At 36.5% G+C, this 14875-nt stretch overlaps 1 protein-coding gene and 1 pseudogene across 10 annotated transcripts in view; one reads left to right on the top strand and one right to left on the bottom strand.

Moving 5' to 3' along the window:
• The window catches only part of SLC39A10 (solute carrier family 39 member 10), a 124672-nt gene that overhangs the window by 55182 nt on the left and 54615 nt on the right, over positions 1-14875 (bottom strand). For 8 of the 10 annotated variants that reach the window (XM_011511504.3, NM_001127257.2, XM_005246689.5 and 5 more), the window contains exon 2: positions 1469-2487. In XM_011511504.3, coding sequence (XP_011509806.1) covers positions 1469-2476 — 1008 coding nt within the window. In that variant the 5' untranslated portion in view covers positions 2477-2487. Of the gene's footprint in view, positions 1-1468; positions 2488-6784; positions 7058-10798; positions 10863-14875 lie in introns of those variants that run through there. The other 2 variants (XM_047445143.1, XM_047445142.1) reach the window with 2 other exon arrangements.
• On the top strand, positions 12045-12147 carry RNU6-915P (RNA, U6 small nuclear 915, pseudogene; annotated as a pseudogene).

Raw genomic sequence — 14875 nt, 5'->3', positions numbered from 1 at the left:
GGAGTTTGAGACCAGTCTGGGCAATATAGTGAGACCCCATCTTTACAAAAAATAAATTTTTGAAAATAATAATAAAATGAATGCATACTTTAAAATCATACTAAGATCTTAATATATGTTATTTTAAAATCAGTGTTTATAACTGCTGAAAACCAAATAGCTGATGATTTATCAAGGGAAGAAACACAAAGATCTTTACCTAGACATAAAACATATCTCAACGACAGTGACAGAAAAGGATGTGGTCATTTTCCACAGTTGATGGTGCTACTTTCTATACATATGAACAACAAACTCAACAAGTTTTTCTAAACTTTAATAAGAATGCTAAAAATAGAATAAACAAGGAATCAACATCCCTTTAATGAAACTAAAATGAATGTGCTTAAGGTGAATAGTTAAAAAGAAAATCAAGGAGTCAACCAAATGTGTAAGTACCCAAGAGTATGAAAATTTTAAAGGAAAACAGGACATCCCATTACTATTAGTTTCTTATTATTATACCTTTTTATATTCATCCTAAGTCTGTGAAAGGCCTGAGACAAAAACAATTATCATGAGTAAGTAGGCCTTATCATAAAGTGACACAGAGAAAACAAGCTAGCCATATGTGCAAAATACCTGACTTTGGAGCTACACCAATGACTTGGAACCACTCAATAGTTAATTCAATAAATTAACAATTTATGAACTAGAAACTGTTCTAGTTACTTCCCAAGAGGACAAGTTGAACAACAATTAAAAAATTTTAATTTTCAAATACCTAGAACATGGCTAACAATAATAACAGTAAGAGACTAGCTTGGAGGGTCAAATAATTCATAAGGAATACATTTTCTAACAACATTAAAACACTTAAGTCTTCAGATACGTGCTACAAAAAAAAATTTCTTAAAAATACGTTTGGATTTGAGGAAACCAAATTTGAGAATATAAGAAACAAACAAATACAAGTGAAATTCAGATTTTAAAAATCTTTTTTCTTTCTTTTTTTGAGATGGAGACTCACTTTGTCGCCCAGGCTGGAGTGCAGTGGCATGATCTCGGCTCACTGCAACCTCTGCCTCCCGGGTTCAAGTGATTCTCCACCTCAGCCTCCCGAGTAGCTGGGGCTACAGGCGCCCGCCACCATGCCCCGCTAATTTTTTGTATTTTTAGTAGAGACGGGGTTTCACCATGTTAGCCAGGATGGTCTCAATCTCCCGACCTCATGATCTACCCGCCTCGGCCTCCCAAAGTGCTGGGATTACAGGTGTGAGCCACCGCGCCCGGATACTTAAAAATCTTTACACTGATTCTGATTCCTTAATGTATTCTGTTCATGAACATTACCTGATATTTCATAGGTAAACATATGGAAATAAGTTTAAATATGATTAATACTCCACTGTTACTTATCCTGTTTTTAAAATGCACCACAATTATGTGAGAATTACGAAGCAGCTATCGGACATCTTTTTATACTTACTTCATGATGATGGTCATCTTCATTTAGATCTTTTCTCAAAGAAATTATTGCATTATTTTTAACATGTGGTGCTTCTCTCTTTCTAGTATGTCGAAGTTCACCTTCATTATCAGGATCAAGATCTTGGTGTCCACGACCAGGATCATGACCATTACGTTCTGGAAGATGTACATGAGAATGACCTGGGTTATGTACACGATCAGGTTTGTGGACCCGATTATGCTCATACTGTTCACCCTGATCATGGTTAGGGGGAAAACCTGGTGTAATAACCTCAGAATTTTCATTACTTTTCCTCCCTTTTTTCTTCCTCTTTCCTTTCGGTAGTTTAACATCAGATTGTTCCTGGGTTTTATTGGTCTCTGTTGAAGGTTCATTGCTAGGCTCCCCACGCTCACTGGGAGTAATGGAATCATTATGAAAATGGTGAGTGTTGTTATGATCAAGATGATGATGCAAACGATGGTGATGACGTAGGCGGTGATTATGGTCATGCATATGTTTATCATCAGATTTTACAGACACTTCAACTGTCTCTTTCTCTGGATCACATTTATGGTTTCTTTTTGTGGATACACTGGTCACAGTTTGATTTTCTGAATTTAAATGATTATGGGAATGCTGGTGGTTATGTGAGTGAAAATGCTTTCCCTCTTGAACTGCCAAAATATCTAAATGAGAAACATGATCGTGGCCAAGATCCTCATGATTAATCTCAACTACTTTTCTCTCTCCAAGGCCCAAGTTTGTTAAAAGTTTCTCCAAACCAAAAAAGGATAATCTTCCATTTTCACCATAACGCTCAAAAAGTTTTTCAATATAGTATTTTTTTTCATTTTCAGCAGCTTGCTTTGAAAATTTGCTTGGCTCCAATTCTGTCATTCCACGATGCTGTCTGTGAAGCGCTTCAGGGCCATGGTCATGTTCTTCATGGCAATGGTTGCAATGATGAAAAATAAATGTCAGCAAACAAATGAGGCAAAATTTTGTGTGCATATGTACCTTCATTTCTATTTTTCCTAAAGAGATTTAAAGAGAGAGACAAGTATTAGTTTCTACCTAGACACATTCAAAACAATCTAATTCTCTGGAAGTTGCCAATCCACTAAAAAAAGTTTTACTCCATTTCCTTCATGATAAAATATGTTAAGAACCAGAGAAAAGTGAAACTGTCATTATTCACAAATGGTAGAATTAATTATGCAGCATGCCTTAAAGAATCTTTAAGAATAAGTTAGTTTAGTACAGTTACTGAATATAAGGACAGTAATAAATTATATTCCTATATATCAGCAATAATTAGAAAATAAAACTCAAAAATAGTAACATTTACAACAGTAGCAAATAGCTAGGAATGTATCTAACCAAAGACATACAAGAACTTTACATAGAAAAGAGAGAAATTATTGAGAGAAATATTATTGACAGAAAATTACTGAGAGAAATAAAAGACCTAAATAAACGGATGGCTATATCATGTTATGACTGGATAAGCTATGTATCCAATACAACCCCAGTCAAAATCTCAGAATTTTGTGAAAACTGATTAACTGTTTTTAATATTGATGTGGAAATAGAAAGGGCCAAGAACGGCTAAGATGTATTCCTTGAGGAACAAAATTGAAGCATTTACTCTATGAATTATCAAAGATGCTGTGGTATTTGGTGCAATAACAAACAGACTAAAGGAACAGAAGACAAAAGCTAAAAACCGGAAAGGATGGTCTTTTCCTTGGTGCTTGGTCAATTAGGTTTCCACACAAAAGAAAATAATAAATAAAATCTGACCCTTACCTCACACATCATTACAAAAATCAATTGCTAATAGCTCCTGAACATAAATCTGAAACAAGAAATGCTAAAATGATAAAGTGTCCAGAACTGTCCAATTCAATGGTAGCCACCACTAGTCACATACGGGTACTTAAATGAACTAAAATTAAATTTAAAATGCAGCCTCTCAGTCACCCTGACTATGTTTTAATTGCTCAACAGCCACATGTAGCAAATGGCTAGTATGTTGGACAACGTAGACGCAGAACATGTCCATCATTATAGAAAGTTCTATTGGACAAGCATACTTCAAGAATCTAGAAATATAATAAGAGCCAATTATGTAATTCTGAAGTTTTCCAGAATAGATGAAACTAATTTCATACTATTCTATTTAACCCATTATATCCAAAATATTATAATTTCAACATCTAATCAATATAAAAATTATTAAAATATTTTACATTCTTTTTAATACTATGTCTTTGAAATCTGTCATGTATTTTACACTTACAGCACATCCTAATTCAGTCTAACTGTATTTCAAGTGCTCAACAGACGTGTGGCTACTGGCTACTGTACTGGAAAGCGCAGATCTTGAAGATTTGGGAGACTAATTTTAAGACCTTCGAGATAGAACACAAAATTGATAATATATTACACTGAAATTAAGAATTTATGTTTCATCAAGAGACATCCAAAAAAAAAAAAAAAACCTAACTAAAAAGGCAGGCTGCAGACTGGGAGAAGACTACCACAATGTATACTCAAAAATATATAAGGAACTTCTATAAATCAATATGAAAATTACAATAAGACGACCCAATGAAAAAATGAGTAGGTAACTTGAACAAGCACTTCATAACAGCAGCCAAACTCCTAAAAAGCAAATGAAAATATGTTCAGCTCAGAAGTCTTCAGGAAACCAAATTAAAATCACAATTAGATACCACTATATACCCCATGAAAATAACTGAAATATAAAATACTGCCAATATCAAAAGTAGGCAAGAATATATAGAGTTAAATGGAACTTGTGTACTGACAGTAGTATTAGAGATTGTATCTTCTGAAAAACTGTTTGGCAAGATCTGCCAGAAGCTGAATGTAAGCCTATGTACTTACACAGCAATTTTAATCTGGGGTATATGCCCAACAGAAATCCATGTACATGAATACCAACATGAATATTCACGTAATCATTATTCATCACAGTCAAAACTGAAAAAAGGCTGGGTGTGGTGACTCACACCTGTAATTCCAGCACTTTGGGAGGCCAAGGCAGGCAGATCACCTGAGGTCAGGAGTTTAAGACAGGCCTAGCAAACATGGTAAAACCATTTTTACTAAAAGTACAAAAATTAGCCAGGCGTGGTGGCATGTGCCTGTAAGCCCAGCTACTTGGGAGGCTGACACAGGAGAATCACTCGAACCCAGGAGGCAGAGGTTGCAATGAGCCCTGATCGTGCCACTGCACTCCAGCATGGGCAACAGAGACAGACTCTGGTCAAAAAAAAAAAAAAAAAAATCTGATAAAAGCCTAAATGTTAATCAACAACAAAATGATAAATGAAACAGAAAAATCTATCACACAGGAATAAAAATGAAATTACAGCTTCATGCATAGATGAATTTCACAAATATTGGGAAAAAAATGACAAACACCAAAGAAAGCAGTATAATTCTTATATAAAGGTAAAAAGGAATAAAACTAAACTTTGTGGATTTTTTTTTGTTTGTTTTTGAGACAGGATGTCACTGTGACACCCAGGCTAGAGTACAGTGGCGCAATCATAGCTCACTGGAGCCTTAAACTTCCAGGCACAAGAGATCTTCCCACCTTAGCCTTCCAAGTAGCTGTGTGTGCCACCACGCTCAGTTTTAATTTTCTTCTTTTTGGGGTCTTGCTCTATTGTCCAGGCTGGTCTCAAACTCCTAGCCTCAAGCACTCCTCCCAACTCAAATTCCCAAAGTGCTAAGATTGCAGGTGTGAGCTACCATACCTGGCCATGATTACTTTTTGAAAGAGAGATAGAGGGTAATAATTGGGAGAAGACCAGAATGGAGGGGACTGCAAAGTGTAATGGTCTTTCCTGATATCAGTAGTAGTTATGTAAATATGTTTACTTTGTGATAATTCATGGCACTTATGCTCTGTGTACTTTCTGAACACAGTCTATTTCAATACAAAGTTTTATAAAAATCAAATTTTCTTCACTGAAAACCAATCACAAAATGTAATTATAAACAACATTGTATGGTTTCTAGAATTAATTAGAACAAGACATATAAAACCACTAAAAGGAAAAACTTATTAAGATGTTATTGAAGGACAGCAAAGAACTGAAAAACCTGGAGAAACACATCATCTACATGAATAGATGGGATATACTGCATAAGGTACATAAAATCTTCCCAAGTGTATATACAAATTTAACTCAATGCCAGTTAAAATCCTGGTAGCTGTTTAGTTTTGGTGAGACTTCATAAGCACATTCAAAAACTCATAAAAGCAAAAACCCAAGGACAATCAAGACAATTCAGAAGATTAGCAAGGTATTAAAGACTTCTTTTTATAAAATTATACTAACGAAAATAACATAGAACTAGCACAGGGGTAGATAGGCCAGTGGAGTGGAACAGAGTTCTGAAAGAGCATCAATAATATTGACTGTGAAAATGTTTCTTCCTCACACTACACACAAAAGTCAATTCCAAGAACATTAAAAACCTATATGTGAAAAGCAAAATTATCAACAAGTTCTAGAAGAAAATGTAAGAGAATGTCTTTATGTCTTTGGGATAGGGAAATATTTTTTAGGCAAGACACAAAGCACATATCATGATGAAAATTTTTGATTAACTAAATTCTTTAAAAAATACTCTATAATAAAGGACACTATAAAAAAAAAAAAAGCTTATAGGCCAGGCGCTGTGGCAGGCGCCTATAATCCCAGCTACTCAGGAGGCCGAGGCAGGAGAATTGCTTGAACTCGGGAGGTGGAGGTTGCAGTGAGCCAAGATTGTGCCACCACACTTCAGCCTGCCAGCCTGGGAGACACAGCAAGACTCTGTCTCGGTGGCGGCAGGGGAGGGGGAAGCTTATAGCAAGCCATATACTAGAAGATATTTGCAATGTGTATATATAAACAATGTATATAAAACATCAGTATCCAGAGTATATAAAGCACATATAGTAATAAAAAAACTCCACTACTACATAGACAACTATGAAAAGAACATAAAACAGGTTGGTAAAACAGCAACATGATGACTAATAATCTAGGCAATTCAAATCTAGATAAGGCTCTAAGACAGTAACAGGCAAAAATTAGTATCTCACAATACTAGATGTTAAGTAAAGGTCTAATATAAAGAAACAAACTACCTTATGCGTCTGGTGGAAGTATATATTGGTACAGCCATTTTGGAAAGCAACTTGACATTTACTACAGCCAAATATGAACACACTCTACAGCCCCCAAGTTCCATTTTAATTACCCTTGCACTTAGGCACGCAAAGACACATTCAAGAATCCTTACTGGGGCCAGGCATGGTGGCTCACGCCTGTAATCCCAGCACTTTGGGAGGCCGAGGTGGGTGGATCATGAGGTCAGGAGATCGAGTACATCCTGGCTAACACGGTGAAACTCCATCTCTACTGAAGATTCAAAAAAATTAGCCAGGCATGGTGACGGGCGCCTGTAGTACGAGCTACTCGGGAGGCTGAGGAGAATGGCATGAACCCGGGAAGCGCAGCTTGCAGTGAGCTGAGATCACGCCACTGCACTCCAGCCTGGGCGACAGAGCGAGACTATGTCTCAAAAAAAGAGAATCCTTATTACAATATTGTAAATGTTTTTCTAATGTGAACTATTGCAATAACAGAACACTCAACCAAAGTGGGTAAAACAGAGGAAAACTTTCACATAAAAAGAAGTCAGGAGAAATGGGTGATTCTAGGACAGTACCAAAAATCCAAGCACGCTCAAATTTACCCTCAGAGTCCCAAGATAACCTTGCATAATCATATTCAAAACTGGAAGATTTATCTTTTTTAAAATACAATTTTTATTTTTTTTCCTCCTCAGAAATCTTGTTTGGATGGAAGGTTCATCTTCATGTCTCTCTTTTTATCCAGGGAGAAAAATATTTCCCTCAAGCCTCTCTTTACGTATCTTTGATCAGTCAGGTCTCTACCACATGCCCATGCTAAAGCCAATCACTGGTTTACAGTAGTGTATAGTAATGTCCCAGGCCTTCACATTCACTCACTGCCCACTCACTGACTCACTCACAGCTGCTTCCAGTCCTGCAAGCTCCATTCATATTAGTGCCCAACACTGGTGTACCATTTTTAAAATCTTTTATACTGAATTTTTACTGTACCTTTTCTATGTTTAAACATACAAATATTTACTATTGTATCACAACTGCCTACAGTATTCAGTATATCAACAGGTTTGTAGCCTAGAAGCAACTGGCTATACTCTATAGGTAGGTGTATAGCAGGCTACACCATCTAGGTTTGTCTAAGTATACTCTATGATGTTCACACAATGACAAAATCACCTAAGCCTGCACCTCAGAACATACTCAGCATTAAGCAATGCATATGACTGTATGTGGGAGAGGCAATACTCACAGAACATGGGGGAATAAGAGGCCTCAAGAAAAAAGGAGGTAAATAAAGAAAAGCAGGCCGGGTGCAGTGGTTCACACCTATAATCCCAGTACTTTGGGAGGCCGAGGCGGGTGGATCACCTGAGGTCAGGAGTTCAAGACCAGCCTGACCAACATGGTGAAACCCCATCTCTACTAAAACACAAAAATTAGCCAGGCCTGGTGGCGGGTGCCTGTAATCTCAGCTACTCGGGAAGGTGAGGCAGGAGAATCGCTTGGACTCAGGAGGCGGAGGTTGCAGTGAGCCGAGATCATGCCATTGCACTCCAGCCTGGGCAACGAGAACAAAACTCTGTCTCAAAAATAAAATAAAATAAGGAAAAGTGGTCAGCTGTGTAACCATTATGTTGCCTGCTACAACCTAAATGCTCATCATTAGAATAAATAAATATGGTATATTTATTTAAAGATTACACTGCAGTTATAAATGTGACTATGAAGGACTTTGTATTAACATGCAATAATCTCAGAAATATAATTTTTAAAATTGCAAAAAGATACATGCTGTATAATTTACAGACAATCTTAAAACATGCAGAATTACTTATTTGGGGGTATATATTCATGTAGCAAGAGAACATGGGATGATTACATTCTGGAGTCATTATCTTCTCAGAAAGGGAAGGAGGGAAATCAGCTGATAGAGGAAGTACACAGATTTAACTGCATTTGCAGTGTGTTATTTCTTTAAAAAAGGGAAAGGGATCTAATGCAATATGATAAAACATTTAATATTTGTTAAAGCAAGATAATGGGATTCAGGTGCTTGATTATTCTTCTGTGTACTTTTCTATAAATCTGAAAAGATACCACATAACCTGCATCAGTGGTTAATCAAACTGTGGTTGTGAGAGCAGCATAAGCTTGCTAGAAATCTGAAAGGCAAATTCCTGCATCCCACCCAGACCTACTATAACAGAAACATTAGGGATAGGACCCAGCAATGACTTATCCAGCCTTTCTAGTGAGTCTGATGCAAGCTACACAAAATTTGAGAGTGCCTATTTACACATATAAATTAGCAATGACTTATCCAGCCTTTCTAGTGAGTTTGATGCAAGCTAGACAACATTTGAGAGTGCCTATTTATACAAATAAATTACCAAACACTTCCATTTCTCTAAAATGATACTTTGGGCTGGGCACTGTGGCTCACGCCTGCAATTCCAACACTTTGGGAGGCAGAGGTTGGCGGATCTTGAGCGCAAGTTCAAGACCAGCCTGAGCAACATGGCAGAACCCCATCTCTACAAAAAAAATACAAAAAAAATTAGTTGGGCATGGTGGCGTGTCAGAAGCCAAGGTAGGAGGATCATCTGAGCTTGGGTGGTCAAGGCTGCAGTGAGCCCTGATCTTGCCACTGCACTCCAGCCTGGGCAATAAGAGACATTGTCTCAAAATAAATTAATAAATAATAGTTTAGTCAACTGAATGTTATGATCTATCTGAATAAATTAAGTTGAATTATCATATATGGCATATATAGGTTAAGCATTTTTTAAAATAGCCTATAAAACAATTCCAAAGCAGCATTAAGTTTGAGATGTTTTTTAATCTCACAGTCTCATGGATAAAGTCACCATTTAAACGGTGTATCAATTTTACTCGTACACTAATGAAGATAAAAAGGCGTGGGTGATTAAGACCACTGTTAAGCAAAGGAAGATACATATTCCTTTAGCTCCCTGTTACACTCCCTGCAGTTACCTTGATTTTCCACTAGAAGATGCTAATTAAAGGTGTGAGTGTTGCTTCATTCAGCTGATATGTAAATACCATGAGGTTTCTTTAATGCATGTTATCTCACTGTCAAATGAATAGGTACCAGAGGTGGAAACAGGACATTCATATATATTGATCAGACATCATCAAATGAATGACTCCACGAAACACAAAAGCTGTAGATGGTTTACACAAGCTTTAAAACGTCATTTGTCTCTACTTTTTAAATACATCATACTCTATTATGGAAAAGATTTTAAGTATCTTGAGTACTCTAATCACTTACATTTAAGAGAATATAGGAATACAATGATACAAGCAACGTTATGAGGTAATACTAAACCTGTGCTTTTTTTTATTTATTAAAGTAAATCATTCACTAACTTTGCAACTTTAGTTTAGAACTACTATAGCAGATGTATGCTTTCAGAATCATTTAGGCCAGGTATGGTGGATCATGCCTGTAATCCTGGCACTTTAGTAGGAGGCCAAGGCAGGAGGATGGTTGAGCCCAGGAGTTTGAGGCCAGCCTAGGCAACATACTGAGAGCTTATCTCTACAAAAAAAGTAAAAAATTAGCTGGTGTGGTGGTGTATGCCTGTACTCCCAGCTACTTAACAGGCTAAGGTGGGAGGATTGATTGAACCCAGGAGGGCCAGGCTGTAGTGAGCCAAGATCGTGCTGTGCTGTGCACTCCAGCCTGGGTGACAGAGCAAGACCCTGTCTCAAAAGAAAAAAAAAATCATTTAGATGAAATATGCATTTTGTTATCACAGGCTAAGCAGCTATTGATTGCAAAGAGACCCCTCTCAAAAGGCAGTGGTTTAAGAAATGGGCAAGTTTTTGTCTCTCTCAATAACAGTTGAAGATGACTACTCCATATTAAATCACTTGGACATTAAAAAAAAAAAAGATGACCGCTCCGGGTCTGAGTGCAGCTCCGCTCCAGTCATTCAGAGACATAACATTCTTACATAGTTGATATTCCAGCCAACAGGGAAAGAGAAAGAATGGAAGTCCAGGTTCAGAAGTTTCTTCTTCAGTATCAAGGGAAGTAGAAGTTGCAGGCATCACTTCTCATCACATTCCATTGGCAAGGGGTTAGTCACATGATCTCAATTGGCTAGGAGGCCAGGGTCTCACCAACTTACAGAGTTTCCCAAGCATTCCAGTAGATGTTAACAATCTTTTCCATCGACAGCACAAAGAGGATCTCTGAGATGGAGACAGGAATGGGGGAAATGGTAGAAGCCCATATACCACTCAACCCTAAAAACTGACATTTATAGGACACAGCTTTGCCCAAGCCAAAATATTCTATTATGTCTCTTGTGTTTTGGAGTTTTCCAAGTTTTATGCATTAAGAATATGTTAGTTTTATAATTGATAATATTTTTTCAGTTCAGCTGAGTTACATCTACTGAAGAGTTCTGCTAGGTGCTGTCAACATCAATGGATGAGGCTACTGACAAGAAATGGGAAAAGGGATTCCGGTAAATAACTAGCAGTGCCACAACAAATTTATTTTCATCTTTTGCTGTTGATTTCCAATACATAACCACAGTTAAAAGCCTAAGTATTCTATCACTGTATAATTTCTGCATTAAGAGTGGGGCTAATTTACAGTTAGGAACTTAATCATTGTGCTAATTATTATACTATTTTGAATGCAAATATTTTGCTTTGGATGCAAAGAAAAAATGAAGTTCACTAATATTCTCTTGTATTTAAGACTAAAACCAGAACTAAATATGTAGTGAAGTGATTATACTTTGGTGTGGGGAGTGACTGGGCAGAATCATGAGAGGAATTCTGGGTTCCTATTAATGTCCTATTTCCTTACCTGGGTGCTGGGTACATGGTTGCACTTCACTTCATGAAAACTGCTTGAATTTTACACTTAACATTTGAGTACTTTTCTGTAGCTGTGTTATATTTCATCCAAAACTTAATTTTTATTCCCCACATGAAGTTTATTCCAACCTTCAATTAGTAAAATCAGTAACACATAATTTCTAGAAACACATCCATACTTAATAATACGCAAAGGGAAATGTGCTTTTTTTAACTTATTTTGAAATAATTTAAGATTCACAAGAAGTTGTAAAATTAGTTCAGAGTTTCCATGTACTCTTTCCCCAACTTTTCCCAATAACATCTAACATAACTGTAGTACATGTTCAAAACCAAGAAACTGACATCGATACTATTAACTACGAACCTTATTCAAATTTCATCAGGTTTTACACACACTCTAAAAAATATTGTAATAGAAAATCAATTTTCTAACCAGAAAAAAATGGCATTTTTGTAATAAAAAGATATTGCTTAACAAAATACATGGTTATACTTAAGAGAAAGGTTAACTAGATCCTTAAATGAAAGGAATTAGGGTGTGTGCTTCAGCAGCACATACACCAAGATTGAAAAAATACAGAGAAGATTGGCATAGCCCCTGCACAAAGATAACATGCAAATTTGTGAAATGGTCTATATTGTTGAATGTTGTCACCACAAAAAAACATGGTATGTGAGATAATGTATTTGTTAGCTCAATTTAGACATTCCACAATGTATACATGTCTCAAAATACATGTTGTACATAATAAATATATACTATTTTTGTCAAAAAAAAAAAAAGGAATTAGGGTTGATATTCTCCATAGCAATTTCTCCTGTAAAAGCTTACAAAAAACTTTTTTATTTTATTTTTGGAGACAGAATCTTGCTCTGTCACCAGGCTGGAGTGCAGTGGCATGATCTCCGCTCACTGCAACCTCCAGCTCCAGGGTTCAAGCGATTCTCCTGCCTCAGCCTCCCGAGTAGCTGGGACTACAGGCACACACCACCACACCCAGCTAATTTTTGCATTTTTAGTAGAGACAGGATTTCTCCATGTTGGCCAGGATGGTCTTGATCTCCTGAACTTGTTATCCACCCGCCTTGGCCTCCCAAAGTGGTGGGATTACAGGTGTGAGTCACAGCGCCCAGCTCAAAAACCTTTTTTAAAGACATTTATTCATTTTTATTTTTCATATAGAGATGAGCTCTCACTATGTTGCCCATGCTGGTCTCAAACTCCTGGGCTCAAGGGATCCTCCCCACCTCAGCCTCCCAAGCTGCTGGGATTACAGGTGTAAGCCATCGTGCCCAGCCTACAAAAACCTTAACTATAGGCTTTGGATTGTAGTTTTGAAATGTGTAAAATGCCAAGCTACAAATTTTAAAAATTTTAAATAAAATTAAACACCTAAATAACAAGTTCAGTAGGAATATATACAAATGGTTAACATGACAAATCTTCCTACAGATATTTTGTCTTAGATTGTTTTTTATTTCATATAGATGAACATAATAAAAATGTAGAATGTTTGAGATTTTAAAAATCCTCAGGTGTATTTAGCTAAATAATGTTATGTACAAGGAATCTAAGACCCAGAAAAGGTATCTAACGTGATTAAGCTGTTATTTCAAGTCTGTGGCATTTCTCTGACTTGAAAGACAGGGGCTCTTTAGTCTACTACAGTAGCATATTTGTGTATCTTGAAACCAGAACACTGTGAGATCTTTATTAAAGTCATCTAAAATATACTACAAAGACTTTTTTTAAGGGAAAAGAAATTGTCTCCTAATACTACTTACTCAATAGAAAAAACCAAGACATTGTGAATAAATTTAGATTACTTAACAAAATGACTGTCTGACATAGTAAGAAAAATAGCAGATAAATACTAAAATAATCCTAGTTCCAACTGCTGGAGAGGCCAATCAACTTAGTAATTTTTTTTTTTTTTTTTCTGAGAGGGAGTCACCCTGTTGCCCAGGCTGGAGCACAGTGGCACGATCTCGGCTCACTGCAACCTTTGCCTCCCAGGTTCAAGGGATTATCCTGCCTCAGCCTCCTGAGTAGCTGGGATTACAGGCGCCTGCCTGGCTAATTTTTGTATTTTTAGTAGAGACAGGGTTTCACTATGTTGGCCAGGTTGGTCTTGAACTCCTGACCTCAGGTAATCTACCCGCCTCAGCCTCCCAAAGTGCTGGGATGTGACCCAAAGTGCTGGGTGCGAGCGACAGTACCCGGCCCGATCAATTTAGTACTTATTGCCTGTGTGTAATCTACTTAACTCATTTCACTAAAACCAAAACCAACAACCAAAAAACAAACAAACAACAACAACAACAAAAACCTCTTTTTACTCTAGGGAGTATTTTTTTAAAGGAAAATGAAGACCAAATAAAAGAATGAGAAGTTATTATCTGTATCGCAATTCTTTCTTTCATACCCATGTGTGTATGCACATGTGCACATGCACACAAACACACAAAATATGCTAATAATGATGGGGAAAGATACTATAAGTTGCTTAGCAAGGTTTTAAAGCAAGCTTTTTCAGTGTTCCAGATTGCTATTCTGAAGGTAAATAAGGTAGAAACCAAAAGATTAATCACTAAAACCCTCATCCTGGATAATATACCATGTTTTAAGTAAACTTAATGTGAAAATCTATTCAATAAATGTATATACAGTTTCCTAATTTCATAAAGGACTTCATTTTTTAAAAGTTTCATTACAGGACTACTTTAAATGGTTGAAATCAGTTTTATAGCCTCAATCATATAAACACAGCTGGTATCTATATGACTGAATGGCTTTATCAAACTTTATCTTGACAGCAATGTAGGTAGTCAAATATCAATTTAGTTTCCTTCTGTGATTCAGTAATGGCACACACAGAGTAACAGAGAAGCAGTGAGGCTGTGTGCATAGTGAAGATAGATTAGCCTAGGAGTCAAAGATGTTAGAGATCTGACTCTGCCATTTATTAGCTATGAGTCCTTGAGCAAGTCCCTTAACCACTTTAAGTCTTATTACTACTTATAAAGTGGGACTGTTAATTTCTGTTCTATTTTATGGTAACTATAAGAACAAAATAAAATTACGTACATATTTTTGTAAAATATTTGTTAATTTTCCTACATTATTTGCAATATTTAAATGTTATTTAAGTGCAAGCTATTAATAATATAAATTGAGTTCTGTCCCTACTTCTCGTATATCCATTAAATGTGGTATTTTGTATACAGTACAGAACCAGGAATCAGAAACCTCTGTCTCTAGTTCATCCCGGTTGTGCCACTGTTTTCTCTCTGCAAAACAGGGAAAATAATACCTACACTTATCCACCAAATAAACCAATGTATACGAAACTGCTTTGTAAAGCAATTAA

This window comes from Homo sapiens, chromosome 2 (genome assembly GCF_000001405.40).
Source record: "Homo sapiens chromosome 2, GRCh38.p14 Primary Assembly".
In the NCBI taxonomy this organism is placed as follows: Eukaryota; Metazoa; Chordata; class Mammalia; order Primates; family Hominidae; genus Homo; species Homo sapiens.
Note: the sequence above shows the minus strand (reverse complement) of the source record. Positions and strands in the feature narration are given on the sequence as shown.